We start from the raw sequence: 20,618 nt of genomic DNA, 5'->3' as shown, positions 1-20,618 counted from the left end.
CAAATGTTCCTAGGGTTACTGAAAACCTTTGGTGGATTTGCAGAGTTCTGAAAGAGTAGATTCTGATAATTTTTGCTAGGTTTTTCATTGCTTTTATGGAGGGATGAACTTCTGGAGGTCCTTACTCCACCACTTTCTGCTGACATCACTCTCGGTGTTTTTGCAAATATCTAGAGCCAGAGCACTGAACCAAATCCCATTTGGTCATGGTGTATAATACTTTGTATAGAGTTCTAGATTCAGTTTACAGTATCTGTGGCTCCCAATCCCATCCCTGCAGCAGGACAGGCTGCAGAATGGGTGGTAAGGTTGTGCAGAGATTTGGGATTTGGGCTCAATCAGACTCTAAGCCTCTCTCAATTTCTAGCCTTCGATGTCCGCTTTTATAGTAAATATTTGTTGAATTGATTAGTACTTGGTAAACTTGTGCTTGAACTTCATTTACAGATTATGTTGCACAAAACACTTGTGGCTGTAGCCTCCTTTCCAGTGCTATATGTGACCCTTGGAGCCCTAAATAAATGTTTCCTCCTTACAGAAAACTGCGGGTCTGCATGAGAGTCCTGGATTCTAGTGTTGAGGATTTCCACATGGATGGGCTGAGTCGGGAGTGGTGAGAGGGTCTAGGCCCTATGGCATTGACTTGTAGCTGCTGTTAAGAACATTTTCGGTGTAAGTTTTCTTAAGCATTCGGCTACCTACATCAGAGAGTCAGCGGTATTCCCTATTCATTTTGGCTCCTCTGGGCTCAGCTTCTCCATGCCCTTTAGCCCCTGGGGCCACCTTTAAAAACTATTTGTTGAACTGATCAGTGTTGGGCAACTTTGGAATTGGACTACATTTACAAATTATACTGTACCCAATGCTTGTCGTCACTTGACTGCCAGGGTGCTTAATGAGTACCTCCTCCTGTTGGGACTTGCTGGGTGAGTGTGTTCCTCAGTGGCGTGTGGGCCTGGTATCTGAATGCCAGTGAGCCCCTCCAAGGCTTTCTCCCACCCTAGTTTGGGAGGATCAGTGCCCTGCTGTCTTTAGTGACGGCTGCCAGCTCTTGCTTTCAGAAGGCAGAAGAAGATACTGCTCAAGCTTTCTGACCTTTCTAGAAAGGTCTTTCAGGGAAATGGGATCAATGCTAAAGATTTCCATGAGTGCTCTGGATCTTTATTGTACTGCTGACCAGGCTTACCTTGGTCACAGTTTGGATGCCTACCGCGGGTGTTTATGAATCACAAGTAACTTTGCCAGTCTCTCTGGGTAAAAATGCGGGGTACATGGTGCCTTCCTGGTGGTTGCCACCAGGTCCCTCTGCGTCTGCTCCCCTGGAAGCTGGAGGATTGCCTTTTCTCTAAAATAAGGACCTCTTTTGGGGTGCCTGACCATTTGTTGGCCAGATCCAGAGGATCGGCTCTGCCCTGGTCTGGGTGCCCCACGGTGATGTTTGTGGCAGAGGGTCTCAGAGAAGGGAGCAAAGCAGAATGTGGGCCTGTGTGGCTCCGGTCCTCGGTTTCCTAACTGTTGGCAGGGATCCTAAAGGCGCCAGGTCCTCCCTGTCCTCCTCAGCTGACTCTGCCCTCCTCAGTGTGTCCACGGGCACAGGCTTTCCTCCTGGCAGGTGGCAGCCGGAGACCTCCTGGGTGTCCTGCCGCCACTGTGGACCTCACCTCAGTGCTGTCTGGGGCCTTCCCAGACCAGTCCCCTCCCAGCGGGACCCAACCCCCGCCAGCCTCAGCTTTCAGGAGCTGCCCCCGCGGCGCGAACAATATCCTTTCTATTTGGAGTTGACTCTGCTGCCCTTTGGAGATCCCAGCGCGTAACGTGAGCTCGCGACCAGCGCGGGGGAGGCGCCCACACGCCCGTCCCGTCTTGGTGTCTGGCCCCAGGCGGCCGCGCCTCCCCTCCGAGGTGGTCCCATAGCCCCTGCACCAGGCGGCCCGCGCCCGCGACCTCAAGGCGGCTGCCCCGCGCCATGGCGGCCCGGCTGGGTGCGCTGGCCGCGTCGGGGCTGTACCGGCGGCGCCAGCACCGGCAGAGCCCGCCGCCAGCCACGGGGTAGGTGGCCAGGGGCGGGGCGGGTGGCGGGGACAATGGCCGGAAAGCTGCGGCGGCAGGGCAGGCCTTCCCTCGGAAACCCGACCGGGGCCCTCCGACGCCGTGGGCTCTGCCCCGGCGTCGGATGGGCCCTGGGTTGGCGACAGGGTGGGCGCGTGCGACTTTATCTAACAGGGTTGGATGTCACCTGTGATCAGCTCTCCTGGCAGGGTGCGCCCAGGGACCTATGTTAGAGACGAGGGAGCCTGTGTAGCCCCCAGCACTGCTTTCAGACGGGGGTGATCATGCTGCACTTTATAGATGAGCAGACAGGTTCTGAGCAGAGCAGACACCTGCTGGACTCACCCACCCCAAACATGGCTATGCTGTGATTTGAACCCAGGTTAGACTGACTCCAGCAGTGGGGTTCAGGATGGTCCTCAGGGCATCTCAGAGAATGAGTTGGCTCTGGATGGGGAGGTTGGGAGGGGCACGGGGATGGTGGTGGAGCCACCTCCCCTCACTCTTGGGGTCAGGGGCATGAGGAGGAGCTCCTGAAAATGTTGCCTTTGCAGTGCCGAGGGGCCAGCGGGGAAGAGAGAGCAATAGGGCTGTGACCTTGGGGTCCTTGGCATCAAGGTGACAGATAGGGACCCTGGGGAGGAGGCCAAGGCTGGGCAGAAGGGCTGGGGCGGGGGGGCAGGGAGGGAGCCAGGAACATAAGTCGCAGAGGTAGGGGAGGGCCTGGAGGACCCAGGAGCAGAGGAAGGCCAGTGCCACCCAGGGCAAGCATAGCCCACTCTCAGCTCCTTGTGTGTGGTCAGGGAAGGCTCCCAGAGTGGCAATTAGAGGACTGAGCCATCAAAGATATCTTTTGCTGAGAACAGAAGAGGAAGGAGGGCACCGAGTGGAGGGCGGGAACTGCAGGCCGGCAGCACGGCCATCTGTGGAGTCCCTGCTGCATGCTGGGCTCCCGCTTGTGCTGGCATGGCAGGTCTGGGGCAGCCTGCTGTTCAGGTGGGGACCCCCAGACTCAGGAGGCCAAGTCACTCACCTGAGTGTGGCAGAGCTGGAGCAGGCACCCTCCCTGGTCAACCTCTGGACAGCCCTGGATGCGTGTGGCATAACTGTGGTACCAGGCTGCGAGTGGCCAGGGCACTGATGGCCCCAAGGCTGTTCTGGAGTGATTTTCACAGTACTGATACCACAGCTGAGATGCAGGCAGGACAGGCACGATGATGACAGGCCTGGGGCAGCCCTGAGCATGCATGCGCATGTGACTATTCACACTGTTTTTCTTTGAACTTCTGGTTCATGTCCTTTGTCAGTTCTTTGTTGTTAGTGTAACATGTTTCAGTTGTACCTGCTTAAAAGAAAAGCCACTAGAGCAAAGAGATATGGCAAGGGCTTCAAAAAAGCTCTAATTTCAGACAGGTTTCATACTGATTTGGAGTCTGTTTCTGATGGTGTCAATGCATCTTGTGTATAGCAGCCCAGGCAGCATGTTAATTTTTTCTTTTTTATTTTATTATTATTAGACTTTAAGTTTTAGGGTACATGTGCACAACCTGCAGGTTTGTTCCATATGTATACATGTGCCATGTTGGTTTGCTGCACCCATTAACTCGTCATTTAGCATTAGGTATATCTCCTAATGCTATCCCTCCCCCCACCCCCCACCCCCCACCCCCCACCCCACAAGAGCCTCTGGTGTGTGATGTTCCCCTTCCTGTGTCCATGTGTTCTCAATGTTCAATTCCCACCTACGAGTGAGAACAGGCAGCATGTTAATTTTCTAGCGTCCCCATGGTGGGCTGGCTTTTTGTACATTTTTGTTGACCTCATGTGGCCAGGTGACCCGACACTGGCCTCTGGCTGGCTTCATGGAGGCGGGGCAGGGAGGAAGCCCAGGCAGTGCTGAGGGACTGGAGCTGCTCCCTGGGCTGTGCTGCAGTAGGGTCCCTCCCCGAAACCCTCTGCATCTGGAATAGTGCCTATCAGTGCAGGTGCTCAGTGAGGACTTCGTTGGAAGGAGGACAGAAGCATGGGCTGTGCTTGCAGGAATGGCCTCACTGAACCCTCCCAACAGTCCCTGGAGGTAGCTATTCCTGGCCCATTTTATAAACGAGGAAGTTGAGGTTCAGAGTCCTGTGCTGCAGGTCACACAGACAGGGGGCGTCGGGGCCAGGGTTGCAGCCTGGTGTGCCTGGCTATAGGGGACACACCCTTGGTCTGACTGCTGCTCAGGCCGACGTGGCCTCAGCAACACTTGCTCATCTTGGGTGTGACCAGACTTCTTGTGGCTGGCCCCCAACTCTTCCCAGATCCTTACACACACTTCCTTGACTCAGATATCAGGAAGGCTGGGATGGAGGAAGGTCTGGGGTTGTTGAAGAAACAGAATCCGGAATGGGGGATGCCAAGAGGAGATGGGAGGAACATGAGTCCAATCCTCTGTGACCCTCAGCTGGTTACTGACTCTCTCTGTGCTTCAATCTCCTTATCTGGAACCAGCCTCCTCCCCTTATACAAAGGCCTGGAACAGAGCAGGCTCCTCTGATCCCACCTCAGACTCAGGGACATCTTGCAACAAATTGGCTTGTATTGGCTGTCAAAACTGAGAGCCTTCTGGGGTGCTGGAGAGGGCTGAGGAAGGGCATGAGATGGTGTGCTCTCCCCCACCTCTGGGGTTTGGCTTCCAGGCTGGGTGTGCCCTGGGCAGTATGTTCTACGTAGTCCAGCTGGGGGTGGGTAGTGGTGTCTCCTGGGGGATAACTGGACAGACTCTGTGCTCTCTATCTTGAAGGAATGTGCAAAGGAGGACATGGAATGTCCACGTCTCTGACCCTCTGACCTCTCGCAGGGACCGCAGGCAGCCTGCAGGCCTTCCCCTAGGCTGAGCCATGCAGAGGGACTCTGGAAGGCTCCCAGAGTTGCTGGAAAACAACAGTTCTCCTTATCCAGCGCTTTGCCCTGCCTGGCCTGGTGCTCTGTGCTGGACACGTGGGTGCCATTCATTCACTTTGGCTCCTCGATGTGGCTGTTTCTCTGGTGCACCTCTTTACAAAAGAGAACGTGAGGCCTACAGAAGCGAGCATCTCTCTCCAGGTCCCAGGCTGGTGGCTGGGGCTATCACGTGTAGAGCTGAGCGGCTGGGCCCAGGCCTCTGCCGGCCTCTCTGTGTCACACTGCCTCTCTTCCTCCCCTGCAGGAGTCAGGAAGCGTGTTCTCTCATGGTGCTGTGTCTCCGTTGTCTCTGCATGCTTCTGTCTGTCCCGTCTTTGCTCTTGGAGCAGAATGTTCCCTCACAGAGCTGCTGTTAGGGGCTCTCTGTGACTTGGGCTGGGGCAGCCCCTGGGCACAGGAAGGAGGTGGCCACCCCCACATCCGCCCCCCCCACCCCCACCTATGCCACGCTTTGTGCGATACTGTCGGCCACAGGCAGCAATGATCTCCCTGGATGCATTCAGGGACCAGCCGAGGAACTGCTTACAGACTGGCTATCAGGTCTAACTGGAAGATGAGCCGGAAGGTAGAGGAGAGTGTGTGTGGCCAGGCTGCTGTCAGGTTGACCAGGTGTGTCCAGCATTGGCTCCTTTTGGTGGGTTCTTGGTCTCGCTGACTTCAACAATAAAGCCATGGACCCTCACGGTGAGTGTTACAGTTCTTCAAGACTGTATGTCTGGAGTTTGATCCTTCAGACGTTCAGATATGTCCGGAGTTTCTTCCTTCCGGTGGGGTTGTGGTCTTACTGACTTCAGAAGTGAAGGCTCAGACCCTCCCACTGAGTGTTACAGTTCTTAAAGGTGGCACATCCGGAATTATCTGTTCCTCGAAACGATTCCTCCCCGTCGGTTCATGGTCTCGCTGGCTTCAGGATTGAAACTGCAGACCTTCGCTGTGAACATTACAGCTCATAAAGGTGGCGCAGACCCAAAGAACGTGCAGCAGCAAAAGCTACTACAAAGAGCAAAAGAACAAACTTTCCACACCAAGCAAAGGAACCCCAACTGGTTGCTGCTGTGGGTTCGAGTGGCCTGGTTTTATTCCCTTATTTGGCCCCTCCCACATCCTGCTGATTGGTCCATTTTACAGAGTGCTAATTGGTCTATTTTATAGAGTGCTGATTGGTCAGTTTTTACCAAGTGCTGATTGGTGTGTTTACAAACCTTTAGCTAGACACAGAGCACTGATTGGTGCATTTACAATCCTTTGGCTAGACAGAAAAGTTCTCCAAGTCCCCACCCCAACCAGAAGCCCAGCCAGCTTCCCCTTTCAGTGGGAAGCAAGGTAACTGGGGAGTGCTAGTTGAGGGTGTGTTTATGAAACGGCGAGGGAGGAAGGGTGGTGAAGCAGCTGGGCTAGCAGGGCAGGAGTGCCCATAACCACAAGGAAAGTCACAGGTCCCAGCAGCACCTGGCCCGTGGGAGTAGGGTCAGCACAGCTGGAAGCCAGAGGGGGCAGGCGTGTGGGTGCAGGCCCTAAACAGCAGTTCCTGGAGGCAGAGAACAGGAGCCTGGAAGGGGGTGCGAGGGATGTGTGCTCACTCACTGGGGTCTAGAGGTCTGGCTTTAAGGCGGAATCTGAAAGGCTGGGGCTGGGTGGAAGTCCTTAATTTGGCTTCGTTTTCTGGGTCCTTGGAGTGAGGAATTCCAGGCCCAGAGCCATGGGATTTCCTGTTGATTTCCGACTTCTCTAAGACTCCCAAGGTCTCGCTCATGGGCAGGCACTGGAATGTCCTCCCTGCCACCTTGGGTGTGTGTTTCAGAAGAGGAGGTTCACAGTGTTCTCCCGGAAGGAAACCAAGCCTGTCCTAGTGAAGCCCTGCCCAGCCCTCGAGGGTGGCTTGGGGCGGCCAGGCTCCACCTTGGTGGCCTGCCTGGCTCGCCCCGTGGAGACCAGCAGGGAGCTGGGAGCACTGAGGACCAGCCGCTGGGTGCCGAGGCCTCCTTTCTTCTTGGTTTCTTCCCAACTCCTGTTGCCACCATCTTTGCTTCCTTGCCCCTCTGGCCTAAATGTGGGCTCGCATGGTGGCTTTGGTCTCCTAAGCACCCCAGAGGGCAGGCCAAGGTGGACAGAAGCCCAGCATGCCCAGAAAGCCTGGTTGAATGGCCTTCCAGACAGCCTCTGCCACATGGGTCCCTAAGCAGAGAAGAAAGGACAGCCTGGGTGCCCCTTTCAAGTTTCCAGTCCATCTCCATTTCGCAGCAGCCTCCTGTGAGACCCTCCGCCCACAGCCCATGCCCAGACCCTAAGCGCAGCCCTGTCGTCCACCCCTGGACTCATCCTAAGGCCCCTCTTCTCTGTGGTTGACACTCTTCAGACTGGCCCTGCCCAGATTGCAGGCCGCAGAACAGCCCGACAGGAGCCTCACTCACCAAGCATTTCCCTCATGATGTCGCGGCAGTGACTGCTGGGTGGGATTCATCCTGGGAGGCAGAGCAGGCGGAGAGGTATTCCCAAAGGCACTGCACTCGAGTCCTGCCACCACCCGGCTGCAACCAGGCAGACGTTACCAGCTGGTTGCGTCACTCCCCAGCGAGCCTGATGCTCCCTCTCTGCCCAGTCTTCCAGGAATCCACTGGAGTTGACACTTGAGACAGAACCCACGTTCTCCCTTCCTAGCAAAAGGTGTGGGGTATCCGGTTCTTTGAAGGTCGTAGAGGCAGTTGGGGTGTTTAGGACTACATCCTGACCCTGTTTTTGAGTCTAAAAGGCCCCTCCTGGCTGTGCCGAAGGGCCCTGGGGCTGGACTGATTGCGGGCCTGGCTCACTGTGGGCTTTTCCCCTGTAGTTCGCATTTCACCCCTCCCAGAAGGAAACCCACCACTGACTCTGGGGACAGGCAGTGCCCAGTATGGATGAGATTTGCTCCCCCTCACCACACTCCCGTCTCGTCTCAAAGATTCATACTCTTGTCTTTTTTATTTATTTTTTATTTTGAGACAGGGTCTTGCTCTGTTGCCCAGGCCTGAGTGCAGTGGCACTCAGCCTCGGCCTCCCAGGCTCAAGCCATCCTCCCACTTCAGCCTCCAGAGTAGCTGAGACTACAGGCTTGCACCACCACACCTGGCTAATTTTTTTGTTTTCTTGTATTTTTATTAGAGATGGATTCTTGCCATATTGCCCAGGCTGGTCTCGAACTCCTGGGCTCAAGGGATCCGCCCACCTTGGCCTCCCACAGTGCTCTGGATGACAGGCTTGAGCCATTCTGCACACGCACCCAGCTACCCTCTTGCCTGCTCTGTGTTTGGGTGGTTATGTGTTTATTGGAGGCAGTCAGTTTGAAACTAACTCATGGTGCAGAGGATGGAACCATGGAAGACTGAGCAGTCTGGATTCAAGTGTGGACCCCGCTCTGCTGTGTGAGCTTGGGCAAGTTACTCAACCTCTTTGAGGCTTAGGTCCCTTTTCTGGAAGAGGCCATAATAATAGTAGCTGCAGTATTGCCCTGGGGATTAAATGAGAGTGTGAATACAGAGCCGCTCACCTGTGCTGGGTGGTGTTCTGTGTGCGAGACTCTCTGGTCCCTGAAGAAGGGGTAATAGGGGCCCAAGTGGGAGTTGACTGGGCCCCTGACACCCCAAGGGGTGGGCACTACAAGCACTGAGCAGCCTGGACCCTGGGTTAGAGCGATTTTCCTGATCCTGCAGAGCGTCTTCACTTTTTAATACGAGGTGTGTCTGTCGGGCGCAGGCCCCCGCGTGTGCCCCATCTGCACCCCTGACCAGCTCTGACTCACTCCTCCTGTCTCCTGCCCCCAGCAATATGTCGGACGCCTTGGCCAACGCCGTGTGCCAGCGCTGCCAGGCCCGCTTCTCCCCCGCCGAGCGCATTGTCAACAGCAATGGGGAGCTGTACCATGAGCACTGCTTCGTGTGTGCCCAGTGCTTCCGGCCCTTCCCCGAGGGGCTCTTCTATGAGGTGAGGACACTACTGAGGGCTTTCTCAGACCCAGCTCGGAGTCTGCCCTCTATGAGCGGGTGGGCCGGGCTCCATGCAGTGGTCCCGACTGGTGACAGGGCCAGGTCTGGAGCCAGCCCAGAACCAGGCTTGAGCTCCTGCACGGGCCCATCCTTCACCTGTGAGATGTGAACAGCACCCCAGGTGCCCTGGGTGCTAACAGAGAGCCACCTTTCACCAGCCTCCTCTGGGCAGATGCTGGGCAGGCCCTGGGGGCAGGAAGAGCCTGCCCTGGTGGTGCTTGCCCTCCCTGGGGACTAGACAGTGAGCACAGCAACCGCATGGCCCACCAGCTGGTGCTGATGCCCTGGGGGTCAGGGTTCCCGGGGTGGGGTGCGGTGGTGCTCAGGGAAGGTGAGGTTTGGGCACACCTGAGGGGAGGGAGACATACTGGGCAGAGGGCACCGCATATGCACATACCCTGTGGTGGGAGAACATGGGGTGTATGGAGAGCAGTAGGAAGACTGGTGTGATGGAAGCCGAGGGCATGAGAGGGAGAAGGCCAGGAGCTGAGGAAAGGGAGGTGGATCTCGCTTGGCCCCACGGGCCTCTACGGAGCCATAGGCTTCCCCTCTGCAAGAGGCAGGAGCCACCTCGGGGTGTGGAGCAGAGGAGTCACACTATCTGCTGACATTTGAAAAGGTGACCTGGCCGGGCGCGGCGGCTCACGCCTGTAATCCCAGCACTTTGGGAGGCGGAGGCAGATGGATCACCTGAGGTCAGGAGTTCAAGACCAGCCTGGCCAACATGGTGAAACCCTGTCTGTACTAAAAATACAAAAAATGAGCCTGGCATGGTGGCAGGTGCCTGTAATCCCAGCTACTCGGGAGGCTGAGGCAGGAGAATCACTTGAACCTGGGAGGCAGAGGTTGCAGTGAGCCGAGATCGCGCCATTGCACTCCAGCCTGTGGGACAGAGCAAGACTCCATCTAAAAAAAAAAAAAAAAAGAAAGAAAAAAAAAAGGAGGCTTGTGGCCGCTGTGCTGAGGAGAGGATGTAAGGCGGGGCAGGAACAGAGGCTGGGCCAGGAGGCTGGGGGGACCAGGAGCTGAATTAGTGCAATCACCCAGATGAAAGTGAAGGGGCCCCCACCAGCTCACAGGAGCAGTCGTTAAATCATCAACAATCTTGGGAGCTGGTTGGGCAACAGAGTTATTGTTTAAAAATTAAATTATATCAGCGTACAATGGGATACAATTTTATTAAAAACAAAGGTAACAAATACTCAAAGCATACCACTTGCTAATTATTTTGTTCCACTTTACTATCGTCTATGCTGATGGGGTTATTTCTGTCCATTGTGCTGGTGTGGCCACTGCACATCTCCCCTCAAGTCCACATCGATGTCATGTTGGCAGCCAGGAGTTGGCCATGACGGGAATATTCACACCATGGACACTGGCAAACGCCCCACAGCAGGGCCTGCCTCTGCGCCCCAGAGAGCTGGCTGTTGAGCATTTACCAGAACATCACTTGTGCTTGTGGTGGCGGTGGTGGCCAGGGGTCAGATGCTGGCTCTGTTTCAAGGTAGAGCTGATGGGACTGGCTGGTGGATGGATGTGGGGCCTGTGGTCCGCCTGGCAGAGCAAGAGCCGCTGTTCCTCACAGTGTCTTCAGCCTCCTGAGGAATGCTGTCTAAGTGTAGAGGCAGCGGGAGGGGTGGGCAAAGCTCTAGGAGGGGTGGCCATATGCCCAGAACAAAGCCTCTCTCTCTCACACACAGCAGGTGCCCAGAAGATTTTCATTGCTGAAAGAGTTTAAGCCCTTCCTGACTCTACAGGTCACTGGGTAGGGCTATATCCAGTTTAGTCTAATAAGACACTCATTTTAGAGAACAGGGAAAAACCAATTAAAAAACAGAAAATACAATTGTTAGAGGAAAGCAGAGGCAGGCTTTGGCCCCGCTTGTGGCCAGCACAGGGGCCCTCGCTGGCAGCTGCCGCCTGGAGGGTGTGCACACTGGCTCCTGCTGGCCGCAGCCCTGAGCTCTTCCCACTTCCCCGTGCCCAGGCCCTTCCTGCGTTCCCTTCCTTCTGTCTCCTATACCCGGGTCTTCATGGCCTCTGAGAGAGCTGGATACTCCCACAGAGAAGGTATACGAAATAGGACCAAGTGACACTACACTTCAGACTGGATCTCATCCCTCCTGGCTTAAAACCGCCTCGCCCCCAGCCTGTTCTCCGGACCAACAGGGTCCAGATCCTCAGTAGACACCAGTGGCCCTTTGACAGGTGGCCTCACGGACCTCTCCAGCTTCCACGGGGGCACCTCCCTTTGCACCCCACCATCCCAAAAGGGCCAGTGTCCTCTCTGGCCAGGCCTGGGACCCACTGCTCCAGCCTCAGCCCGGCATGCCCCTGCCTCAGTGCCTCATCCCCTGCTGTCAGGTCCTGACCCAACAAGGGCCTGGGCTGCTCATGGGGATGATAGGTGGTTTGCTTGTCCTCTCTCTGCGACCCCTTTGCAGTTTGAAGGCCGGAAGTACTGCGAACACGACTTCCAAATGCTGTTTGCTCCGTGCTGTGGATCCTGCGGTAAGGCCGGTGACAGTACACATCCTGGGCTGCCTGGGAAGTGGGCAGCAGTGGCGGGGGGCAGGGGGCCGAGGGGGTACACAGAACTGGCCCAGCTCTTTCCTAACTCCCCACCTTGCCTCTCTGAGCGGCAGCCGTCAGGCCCCCTACAGGCATCACCATCCCACGAGGGAGCCCATGGGCCAGGCAGAGAGCAGGCGGAGTGCTAGGTGGACAGGGCTTGGGAGGGTCCGAAGAGGGGACAGGCACGTGCTCCCCAGCCAGCAGGGACCTGTCTTCTTCCAGGTGAGTTCATCATTGGCCGCGTCATCAAGGCCATGAACAACAACTGGCACCCGGGCTGCTTCCGCTGCGAGCTGTGTGATGTGGAGCTGGCTGACCTGGGCTTTGTGAAGAATGCCGGCAGGTGAGGTGGCCGTGTTGGGCCAGAGAGGACTGGGCCACAGCCCTTCCTGGCACACCTGCCACCTCTCCTGTGTGCTACCCACTTGCTGAGGGCGCAGAAGGGTCCCGGTGCTGCAGCCTGCACTGATGTAGCTGCCCTCCCTCCAGGTCACCCCGGGGCGGATAGTCCAGCTCCCAGTTTACAGGGCCCCACGCTCAGCGAGCTCCTGGCAGCCTCTCGGGAGCCATGAGAAATCCTCACACTCTGCCACCCCCCTGGCCACCCCATCTACTGACCCCACCTGTCCACCTTCTCCTGCCTGTACCTGTGCAGCTCAGTGTGGCTGGAGGGAGATGCCCACATTTACTCTAAATTGAGGGCCACAAACCTCATGGGTACTCCAGAAGTTCCCACCTTCTGCGAACCCTTGGTCTCTCATCCTCCCTTCCCAAGCACTGTCCCTATAGCAGGTGGCCTTGTCTCCCACCTCCCCTGGCCCTAGCTCTGAGATCCCGTGCAGCCCGGCCTCTGTCTGTGAGCCCTGTTCATCCCCACACTTTCTCCAGGGCTTGCTTCTCCACGCCACTCTCTCGTCCTTTCTGAAGGACTGGGCTGGGGAGCTGGGTTAAAAACACTGCTGGGCCTTCCTCCCCGGCTTCTCCCAGCACACCCGCTGCCCCTCGCGTGTGCTACCCTGGCCTCATCTGCCCAGGGACCCACACCTCCTCTTGACCCCTCAGCAGCCCTCACCACAGCTGCTGAGGTGCAGAAACGCCCCCCTTCTGGCACCCGGGACCCTGAGTTCCTGTGGTTCTGCCCGCCCCCACAGCTGCACCTGCTCACTCCCCTCCTCTGAGTCACCTTTCTCCCTGTCTCTCCATGGGGAGTCGTCTGGGGCTCCGTGCCCGGCCCTCATGGCTGCCCTTGCAGACAGAATCCTAGAGCCCTAAATGGCACATGTGTCTGGAGAATTCCAGGCTCCACTTCAGGCCTCTCTCTCGCTGTCCTCAGCTGCCCACATGTCACCTCCACTTGGTGTCCACCAGGCATCCCAAACGCAATGAGGCACAAGCAGTTTGGGATTCTCCTCCACTGACCACCAAGGCTGCCTCTGCATGCGTCCCCTGTATCAGTGAGAGGCAGCGCCGACCCCCAGAGGCCCCAGCCATGCTTCCCCTGCCACACTCTCTCTGTCCGGGCACTCTGCTCCCTCCCGCAGCTCCTCCGAGATGCTTCCCCGACACTACCGAGCTCTTGTCCGTGTGCTGCCCGTGAGAGAGGCACGTGGCCTGGGGCCTGGCGTCCGGCCCACTGTCCTCGGAGCTGGGCGGTGCCTGGCATTGAGCAGCTTGTCTAAATGAAGGGCTGAGGGGCAGACGGTGCAGTGCAGGGGCCGAGGGACAGCACCAGGAGCTCGTGCTGACCAGCAACGTCGCCGACAGGGTGTGTGGAGCGAGCCCAATCTCCTTCCTGAGCCAAGGTTTGCACAGGGCCACTGCCCCAAGGGCTGGTTGGGGAAATCTGAAAGATGCTGGAAACGTTTTGGAAAGTCAAACATGCTACAAAAGCATGTTGCCGTAAGGACGGTGCAGGGTGGCAGCTAGAGTGAGGAATGAGGGCCCCTACTTGGCCCTCCCAGCCCCACAGTGCAGAACCTCAGAATCTGGGCAGATGTGCTGTGAGCTGCCAGAGCCCCAGCAAGAGAGCCCACGAGGCTGCCTCTGCCACTGTACCACCACTTCACCATTCTTGGGTCAGAGAAGTTCTGGGAAACGCTTCATGTTGACCAAACATAACAACCTGTGTAGTCTTAAAGCTACAGTTATATTTATGGTCCGTACAAACAAATACAAAAAAGGACATGTTAGGGAAATATCTGCACACTAGCAAGGGAAATAGCTCAGGCGGAGAGAGGCCTCTCTGGAGGAAGTGGGTCTGGGTCAGTGGGAGGCAGGTGCACAGCCCAGCCCTGGCCTGAGCTGAGCTCCCGTGACTGCACATGCTTGTCCAGGACTGGGAGGCCTGGGAGCCTGTCAAAGAGCTCTGGGGGTTGCAGGCTTGTGCGTGGGGTTACAGCAGGAGAGATCCAGAATCCAGAGCTGTGCTGAGTCCCTGCAGGCCGTGAGTGCTGACGTCCGCTGGCAACCAGCCTGAAATGTGTGGCCTGTGTCTCTTCAACTCAGGCAGTGTGTGTCTGGCAGAGGCACTACAGAGGGGACTCAGAGTACCTTGCACTGCAAAGGAGTATTGAGACTCCCTCCCCGTCCCCACCAGGACTCCCAGGTCCCTCTTCTGGGTCATTTGCAGCCTGCCTTCAGGGTCTTTCTGCTGAGCCTCGCCGATGAGCGATTCTGTAGCGGGAAGGAGGCTGGGAGCCTAGCGGGAAAGAAAGGCCTCCATTGTTCAGGGGTTGTTCTTCCGGCCTCCTCTCTCCCTGCCACAGATGAAGTCGTTGAGTGTCTAGGAGCCATTGTAGCCATCACAAGCCCCTGCAGAGGGGTGGCCGATGGATCCCCTTTGTCAGTTCTTCCTTTTTATGGGTTGAGACTAGGCGATCTAGAGAAATGGTGGGCATCTGCTGAGATTTCAGGTTGCTTGCTGGGGAGGTGGCTGGGGAAAGGGCAGATGCCTCTTGCTGGGTCTGCTGAGTCCTAAACAGTCTGCGCTCGGCCTGGACGGCGCCCCCCGCTCACAGCTCTGACTTGGCACTCAGCGAGCTCTCGTTGGTTTTCCCTTCGAAGCTGGGGGGCGGGCCCTTGAGCCTTTTGCCACAGAGCAAGTTGCACAGGGCGTGGCGGAACTTCTCAGCCACGAAGAAATACATGATGGGGTCGAGTGCCCCGTTGAGGCTGGTGAGGCAGGAGGTGATGCGGTTTGCCAGGGCCAGGATGCGCTGGGTGGCGCAGGAGGCCCCATGGCTGCGGTAGTGCAGCACGTAGACGGAGCGGTTGACGTGGTAGGGCACGAAGCAGACCAGGAAGATGGCCAGCACTATGGCGATCATGCGCACTGCCTTGGTCTTGAGGCGCTTCTCCACACGCAGGCCCTGCCGCAGGCTGCGGATGATCAGCAGGTAGCAGGTGACCGTGGTGATGAACGGGAAGGTGAAGGCCACTGCCAGGGACACCAGGGCATGGTGGGAGGCCTTCTCCCGGTACAGCTGCAGGCAGACCACCGTGTGGTTGGTCTGCACGGTCTGTGGGCTCACCAGCAGCGGGGCCATGGCCACAGCCACCACCACCCACAGGAAGGCACAGGCCAGGTGTGCGTAGAGGGGCCTGCGGAGCTTGAGGGACTTGACCGGGTGCACAATGGCCAGGAAACGGTCGGCGCTGATGCAGGTGAGGAAGTAGATGCTGGCGTACATGTTGAGGTAGAAGAGGAAGCCGGTGAGACGGCATGCGATTTCCCCAAATGGCCAGTGGTTCCCAGAGAAGTGGTAGACCAGGCGGGTGGGCAGGACCAGCACGCACGACAAGTCGGCCACGGCCAGATGCATCAGGAACACGTTGGCCGGGGTCCCGGACTTGTGGTCTCGGATGAAAAGCCACAGAGCCAGGGTATTGCCAACTAAAGCCAGGATAAAATCCAGAAGGTAGAAGGAGGCGAACAGCATGTTCTCCAGTGGCGTCTCCTGGCCACATTGCTCTGCCGTGGCCAGGGAGAAGTTGGTGATCAGACCTGGGGGAGCCACTTCAAGGCCATTCATGCTTTGGCTGGAGTCAGAGCCTGGAGGGAACAAGCAAACAGTTCACAATGAGCTTGCGATCTAGGCAGCTTCACGCTCTCTGAAGTCCAGAAGTCAGGCCTCCAATGCCTTCAGAACCTCCCACTTTCAAGCTCAGCACCGCCCACGGGGCTGCTGAGGGGACCTCCTTGTCCATTTGGTGTGCGTGAGCGTCAGAGGCATTCTGAACTTCAGCACAAGGCAAACGCAGAACCAGGGCTTGGAATTTCGCCGCTATGCAGCTGCACCCCTGCCACCCAGGAGATCTGAGGCTCCTCAGAGCTGGGAGGACCGGGTCAGTGCCATGGCGGGGAATGGGACGTGAGCCTTGCCTGGGTGAGGCTCTGGGTTTTCTGTTCTGCCTCTGAGGTGTGCTGTCTGAGTGACAGGGGTGGTGAGGGGCGGGGGCAGTGTGTCTCCGGGATTCCAGCTCCTCCTCAGCCCAAGCCTTGGCAGGTGAGTTCTGTTCATCCTGAGTGCCTGGACCCTCCCTGACCCACCTGCCCACAGGTGCAGTGGCCGGGGTGTCACCGCTTTCTGCTTCCCCTGACCATGGCTTGCCCCTGGCACTTAGGAGGGTGCCCCCAGGATGGCAGCAAGGGCTGTACCCTGGGACGTCAGAGGTCTACTCTTTTTACCCACCTGAGAGTTTCAGCATCTCTCTTGGGGGCTTTCTGGATCCAGCCCACCAACTCCGTTTGGACATCCTGACAGGTGGGGAGACCTGTGTTTAGGAGAAGCCTGTGCCTGGGTATCAGGCCAGCTGGGAGTATTTTCTCTCCCAGAGTAGATCCACCACCAGGGGGCAGCATCTCTTCCAGGAGGGGAAGACCCATTTTACCCAGCGTCAGAGACACTGGCCAGCGCTGTTGAGGACGGATCTGCAGCCCCAGAGAGGCCTGGAGGCCTCGTGGCTTGCCCACGTTTGAAGGCCAAGTGCAGAGCCCTGTGACAGTCCTGGGTAACAAGTCATGTCCGTCTGGTGAACCCTGGGTCTGGATAGGGTGCTCCCCACCCTCAGCAGAGAAACCCACTCTTGTTTTGATTTTAGTCAACTCAGAAGATTGAAGAAGGAGAGTGAGGGTCCCAAACACTCTGCCTCCCCAACCCAGGCCTGCGAGTGGCAGTGTGGGCAGGCGGTGGGGCCAGAGCAGCCCGCAGCCCGGAACCAGGGCAGGACAGCGCACCTGGCCTGCCTTTGAATTGGGGTCACCAGCGGGCTTCGGCCAGGTGGGTGCTGATGATGGCACAGCTTCTGGGGCTCCTCTGGGCACCTGGCTTCCCAGTATCCACCATCCCCACCCTGCACAGCCAGGCTGAAGCAGAGGCTGGAGAGAGGTTTGCATAAGAGAAGCTGGCATCCTGCCTGTGCCCATTGTGGCAGCAGGAGGGGAGGAGGCACGGGCCACAGCCCTGGCAGGGTCCTCATCCTGGGCGAGCCTGGCTCTGCACCGAACAGCCGGGGTCCTGCCTGCAGCAAATTCACTCTGCACATTTCTCCCTGCCCTTCCTTCCTTCCTTCCTTCCTTCCTTCCTTCCTTCCTTCCTTCCTACCTTCCTCTCTCTCTCACTTCGCTTTGCTTGTTTGCTTGCTTTTCTTTATTTTCCTTTTTTCTTTTCTTTTTTCTTTTTTTCTTTTCTTTTTCCTTCCTTCCTTCCTTTCTTCTTTTCTCTTTCTTTCTTTTTCTTTCTTTCCTCCCTCCCTCCCCTTCCTCCCCTCCCCTCCCTCCCCTCCCCTCCCTCCCCTCCCCCCCTCCCCTCCCCTCCCCTCCCTCTCTTTTTTCTTTTTTTCTTTCTCTTTTTCAAGGTCTCCCTCTGTCACCCAGGCTGGAGTGCAGTGGTGCAATCAGCTCACTGCAGCCTCAACCTCCAGGGCTCAAGTGATCCTCCCACCTCAACCTCCTGAATAGCTGGGACTACAGGCGCACACCACCACACCCGGCTAATTTTTGTATTTTTTGGTAGAGACGGTTTTGCCATGTTGCCCAGGCTGGTCTCAAACTCCTGGGCTCAAGTGATCCTCTCTCCTTGGCCTCCCAAAGTGCTCCTTGGCCTCCCAAAGTGCTGGGATTACAGGCATGAGTCACTGCGCCCAGCCCCTCTCCTCTTACTGATTCCACAGGGCTGTCTCAGGATGCTGGTGGCACGGGGCAGAGAGGGCATGGTGACTGTTCATGGACACAGCAGCCCCTCGAGGAGGAGGCTGGAGCCATCCTCATATGGAGGAGAAGCAGGCATGGTGGTGGCCCTAGCCCTAGGGAAGGGTGGGCCGCACCCTTCCTTCAGGAGAGCGAGTGGCCAGCTGCTGTGGCCCTCACATGGAGGGTGAGGGCTGGCCCGAGCACCTGGCCATCAATGTCCTCAAGCAAAGGGGAGGGCAACTACCTAATAATATTACCTTTTAGCTATTTCTCTAGGCAGGTTCCCCTACCTGAAAAGATTGCCCCCGGCTTCAGAGTGTTTCAAGATGCCTGAAGTTCTAACACCAGAGATGGTTTCCTGCTGCTTCCAGGAACAGGGTCTGTTCTTAGTCCAATGTGGAGTTCCTCATGGGGACCCCATTCCCCAGGAATCCAGGTTCCACAGTACTCTGACTTGGTCTGGCTGGTCTCGGCTGGCACTTTCCCTAGGACTGCTAAAACCACGGTGAGGGCGGAGAGCTGAGGGCCGAAGAAGGCGGGGTGAGTGATGCTTGGGAGAGGGAGACAGGCTTGGCTGAAGCCCTGGGGAAGGGCTGAGGGCTGTGAAGGGGGCTGTGGAGGAGAGGTAAAAGGAGGGAGGAACACAGCCCTTGACAGGGCCTGTGAGGCAGGGGAGAACAGGGAGCAGGTACCGGTGGGACGGTGGCAGGGGAGGGGGGCCCATGACTTTGAGGGTGTCGTGTTGCATGTGCTGGGGGTGAGGACCCGGAGACTGGAGGAACAGGGCTCCAGGGCAGACGCATGGGCAAGCAGAGAGGACAGCCCATGGTAGATGGGAGGGGCACACAGGTGTGCTGTTTTCAGGTTGGCAGGAGAGGAGGAAGGTGTGTGCGGGGAGGCCCTGGAGACTGGAAGAGGAGAGGGGGCCCAGTGAGTGAGGGGCCCTTGTTAGAACCTGGGGGTGGGAAGGGGCCAAGGTGGGTGCCCTCCACCCCAGGCTGTCCCTCAGGCCTGTGCTGTGCCCCACAGTGCAGGCATCACCTGGCCCCACGAGAGAGCAGCTCATAGGTACGACTGACCACTCTGCCTGGCATGGTGGGGGCCTGCCTGTGCTGGCTCAAACCAGTTTTAGCCCCATGTTGCAGGTTAGGGAGTCAAGGCTGAGTGTCTGCTAACTTGTCTTAGGTCACTTGACCAGGGGACATTGGCCCTGGAGCTGGAAGTGAGACCGGGGAAACGGTCTCACTCCCTGGAAGACCGCCAGGGTGGGGAGTGTGACTCAGTCTCAGAGTTTGCCATGGAGTTGTCTCCCAGGCTCAGCACCCCCTCCTGGCCCTGGGGCCACTCCCTCATTTTAGGGGCCCATGTATGAAATGAGAATGTGCAGCCCCTTGCTCAAAAAGGAAGAGTTTCAGGACAGTGACGGCAGAGTGTTACTGGGCTCAGGGCCCTGAGTGACGGCAGGGGTGGCATATCTCATGGCACCAGGTGGGCCTGTGGTGCCTCCTGCCTCCAGCCCGGGGGCCTCAGCCTGGGCACTGCCCTCCACTTCCTGCCCGGGCCGAAGGGCGTGCCCCTCGCTCTCTCTGGGACTGAGACTCCATTTTAAACAGCTTTCTGGTTGGTTTCAGGTTTGCTGAGGTTTCTTCTCCCTTTCTGTCCCCCGTTTGAGGAGTTCTGATACTGATTGTTGCAGTTTGGTCTGAGATGGGCCCCGCTTCACTCTCTGTTGCCCTTTAGAAACACAAACTTCAGTCTAGACTCGCTGGTTCCTCACGACTCACTGGTCAGACGGCCACCGAGCCGGTGTCCGTAAGAGGAAAGGGCGTGGCATGGGCCGGGGCCTGGGCAGTGTTGGGTCCCGTGGCTGTGGGTGAGTCGAGCATCTAGGACAGGTCATAGGCCTCTGTGGAGGTGGCAGGTGGGCATGTGTGGCCTCGGGGAGGGCCTGTGGTGGCAGCGCCATGGCCAGGTGGTGGCAGTTTCCTTTGCATTAGCGCCACTCCATCCCTGGCCCGAGCCCTCTCCCAGGCATCTGGCTCCTCTATGGGTCAAGGCTGCCTAATGGTTAGGGGCAGCGGTGCTGTCATTGCAGCCTGGACTGCCGGCAAGCCACTTCCCCTCTGCAAGCCCCCATCAGAGGGACGAAACACCGCTTTGTGGGCTGCTGTGAATTCAGACTGTGGTCAGCCTTCGATGCACAGGTCAGACCATCACCAAAGAGATGGGACGAGACAGGCTGCTGCCTGTCTCCCTGGGCAGGGCTCCCCGCTGAGTGTTTCCTCTGCTTAGCCCTGGGCTCCCAGTCCACCCCACCCAGCCTGCCCCTTACCTCTAGCTGCTGGTCCGGGAGGAAGGGACAGGGGTCTGCGGGGCAGCAGGTGATCTCCGCCCGTGGGTGTCGGTGGTGGCAGGGGGCTCCTTGCCGCTGTGGGTGGAACGCTGGCTATTTAAGGAGAGGAAGGGAGACCACAGCCCCTCTGGCCCTGAAAGGCTGCTTCATTCCTGAGGGGTCCCTTGTTGTGTCGGGCTGCTCCTCTGGCTGCTGCTGCTGCTGCCACCGGAGCGTGAATATTCTAGTGTGTCCCTAGCCCATGCCCCCCGCCCCCAGCTTGGCCACATAGTCTGAGTGTGTGACTGTCTCAGAGACTCAGAGCAGGCGGGGGCTGGGTGGGGGGCTTGGGCTGGAGCTGAGGGACACAACAGGACGTTTCAGAAGGGGATGATTTCCTACTGATGGGGGGCAGGGAGGGGCCGGCTGTCATGGCAACAGGCGGCGCTCCCAGGCCTGCGCCCGCAGACGGCGGAGGGGGCCTGTGAACGGAGGGTGGGAGGCCGAG

At 57.8% G+C, this 20,618-nt stretch overlaps 2 protein-coding genes across 22 annotated transcripts in view, besides 10 other annotated features; one reads left to right on the top strand and one right to left on the bottom strand.

Annotated features, from left to right (window-relative positions):
- The window catches only part of LIMS2 (LIM zinc finger domain containing 2), a 43,361-nt gene that overhangs the window by 15,432 nt on the left and 7,311 nt on the right, over positions 1–20,618 (top strand). For 5 of the 18 annotated variants that reach the window (NM_001161404.2, XM_047444970.1, NM_001161403.3 and 2 more), the window contains 3 exons: positions 8,793–8,952; positions 11,459–11,525; positions 11,811–11,931. The exons of 1 other annotated variant lie outside the window; for it this stretch is intronic. In NM_001161404.2, the coding sequence (NP_001154876.1) occupies positions 8,797–8,952; positions 11,459–11,525; positions 11,811–11,931 (344 nt within the window). In that variant the 5' untranslated portion in view covers positions 8,793–8,796. Of the gene's footprint in view, positions 1–1,761; positions 2,050–8,138; positions 8,394–8,792; positions 8,953–11,458; positions 11,526–11,810; positions 11,932–13,129; positions 13,391–15,812; positions 16,599–16,688; positions 16,868–17,759; positions 18,319–18,515; positions 18,709–20,618 lie in introns of those variants that run through there. 12 more of the 18 variants (XM_011511453.2, NM_017980.5, XM_047444971.1 and 9 more) reach the window with 10 other exon arrangements.
- Positions 2,451–2,990: an enhancer, noted in NCBI's record as "H3K4me1 hESC enhancer chr2:128420939-128421478 (GRCh37/hg19 assembly coordinates)". NCBI's record gives its function as "activates a minimal SCP1, AML or CMV promoter by ChIP-STARR-seq in naive H9 embryonic stem cells {active_cell/tissue: H9 hESC(naive)}" and the evidence as "EXISTENCE:reporter gene assay evidence [ECO:0000049][PMID:30033119]".
- Positions 2,991–3,531: an enhancer, noted in NCBI's record as "H3K4me1 hESC enhancer chr2:128420398-128420938 (GRCh37/hg19 assembly coordinates)". NCBI's record gives its function as "activates a minimal SCP1, AML or CMV promoter by ChIP-STARR-seq in naive H9 embryonic stem cells {active_cell/tissue: H9 hESC(naive)}" and the evidence as "EXISTENCE:reporter gene assay evidence [ECO:0000049][PMID:30033119]".
- Positions 3,569–4,566: an enhancer, noted in NCBI's record as "H3K4me1 hESC enhancer chr2:128419363-128420360 (GRCh37/hg19 assembly coordinates)". NCBI's record gives its function as "activates a minimal SCP1, AML or CMV promoter by ChIP-STARR-seq in naive H9 embryonic stem cells {active_cell/tissue: H9 hESC(naive)}" and the evidence as "EXISTENCE:reporter gene assay evidence [ECO:0000049][PMID:30033119]".
- Positions 7,141–7,641: an enhancer, noted in NCBI's record as "H3K4me1 hESC enhancer chr2:128416288-128416788 (GRCh37/hg19 assembly coordinates)". NCBI's record gives its function as "activates a minimal SCP1, AML or CMV promoter by ChIP-STARR-seq in primed H9 embryonic stem cells {active_cell/tissue: H9 hESC(primed)}" and the evidence as "EXISTENCE:reporter gene assay evidence [ECO:0000049][PMID:30033119]".
- GPR17 (G protein-coupled receptor 17) lies at positions 13,716–20,202 on the bottom strand. 4 transcript variants are annotated; one of them, NM_001161415.2, is made up of 4 exons: positions 20,111–20,202; positions 18,069–18,297; positions 16,280–16,344; positions 13,716–15,639 (listed from the first exon to the last, which is right to left on the bottom strand). In NM_001161415.2, exons 3-4 carry the CDS (start codon positions 16,341–16,343, stop codon positions 14,600–14,602), a joined length of 1,104 nt encoding a protein of 367 aa, NP_001154887.1. In that variant the 5' UTR covers position 16,344; positions 18,069–18,297; positions 20,111–20,202; the 3' UTR covers positions 13,716–14,599. The 4 variants fall into 4 exon arrangements, with proteins under 4 accessions (NP_001154887.1, NP_001154888.1, NP_005282.1 ...); NM_001161416.2 differs by lacking the exon at positions 16,280–16,344; NM_005291.3 differs by lacking the exon at positions 18,069–18,297.
- Positions 13,889–13,968: an enhancer, noted in NCBI's record as "active region_16500". NCBI's record gives its function as "activates an Ori minimal core promoter by ATAC-STARR-seq in GM12878 lymphoblastoid cells {active_cell/tissue: GM12878}" and the evidence as "EXISTENCE:reporter gene assay evidence [ECO:0000049][PMID:35858748]".
- Positions 14,009–14,068: an enhancer, noted in NCBI's record as "active region_16499". NCBI's record gives its function as "activates an Ori minimal core promoter by ATAC-STARR-seq in GM12878 lymphoblastoid cells {active_cell/tissue: GM12878}" and the evidence as "EXISTENCE:reporter gene assay evidence [ECO:0000049][PMID:35858748]".
- Positions 14,488–15,213: an enhancer, noted in NCBI's record as "H3K27ac-H3K4me1 hESC enhancer chr2:128408716-128409441 (GRCh37/hg19 assembly coordinates)". NCBI's record gives its function as "activates a minimal SCP1, AML or CMV promoter by ChIP-STARR-seq in naive H9 embryonic stem cells {active_cell/tissue: H9 hESC(naive)}" and the evidence as "EXISTENCE:reporter gene assay evidence [ECO:0000049][PMID:30033119]".
- Positions 15,214–15,941: an enhancer, noted in NCBI's record as "H3K27ac-H3K4me1 hESC enhancer chr2:128407989-128408715 (GRCh37/hg19 assembly coordinates)". NCBI's record gives its function as "activates a minimal SCP1, AML or CMV promoter by ChIP-STARR-seq in naive H9 embryonic stem cells {active_cell/tissue: H9 hESC(naive)}" and the evidence as "EXISTENCE:reporter gene assay evidence [ECO:0000049][PMID:30033119]".
- Positions 16,347–16,641: an enhancer, noted in NCBI's record as "tiled region #7437; K562 Activating DNase unmatched - State 12:CtcfO". NCBI's record gives its function as "activates a minimal TATA promoter and a strong SV40 promoter by Sharpr-MPRA in K562 cells {active_cell/tissue: K562}" and the evidence as "EXISTENCE:reporter gene assay evidence [ECO:0000049][PMID:27701403]".
- Positions 16,668–17,395: an enhancer, noted in NCBI's record as "H3K4me1 hESC enhancer chr2:128406535-128407262 (GRCh37/hg19 assembly coordinates)". NCBI's record gives its function as "activates a minimal SCP1, AML or CMV promoter by ChIP-STARR-seq in naive H9 embryonic stem cells {active_cell/tissue: H9 hESC(naive)}" and the evidence as "EXISTENCE:reporter gene assay evidence [ECO:0000049][PMID:30033119]".

This window comes from Homo sapiens, chromosome 2 (genome assembly GCF_000001405.40).
Source record: "Homo sapiens chromosome 2, GRCh38.p14 Primary Assembly".
In the NCBI taxonomy this organism is placed as follows: Eukaryota; Metazoa; Chordata; class Mammalia; order Primates; family Hominidae; genus Homo; species Homo sapiens.
The sequence above is the reverse complement of the archived record's forward strand: the minus strand, read 5'-3'. Positions and strand labels throughout refer to the sequence as shown.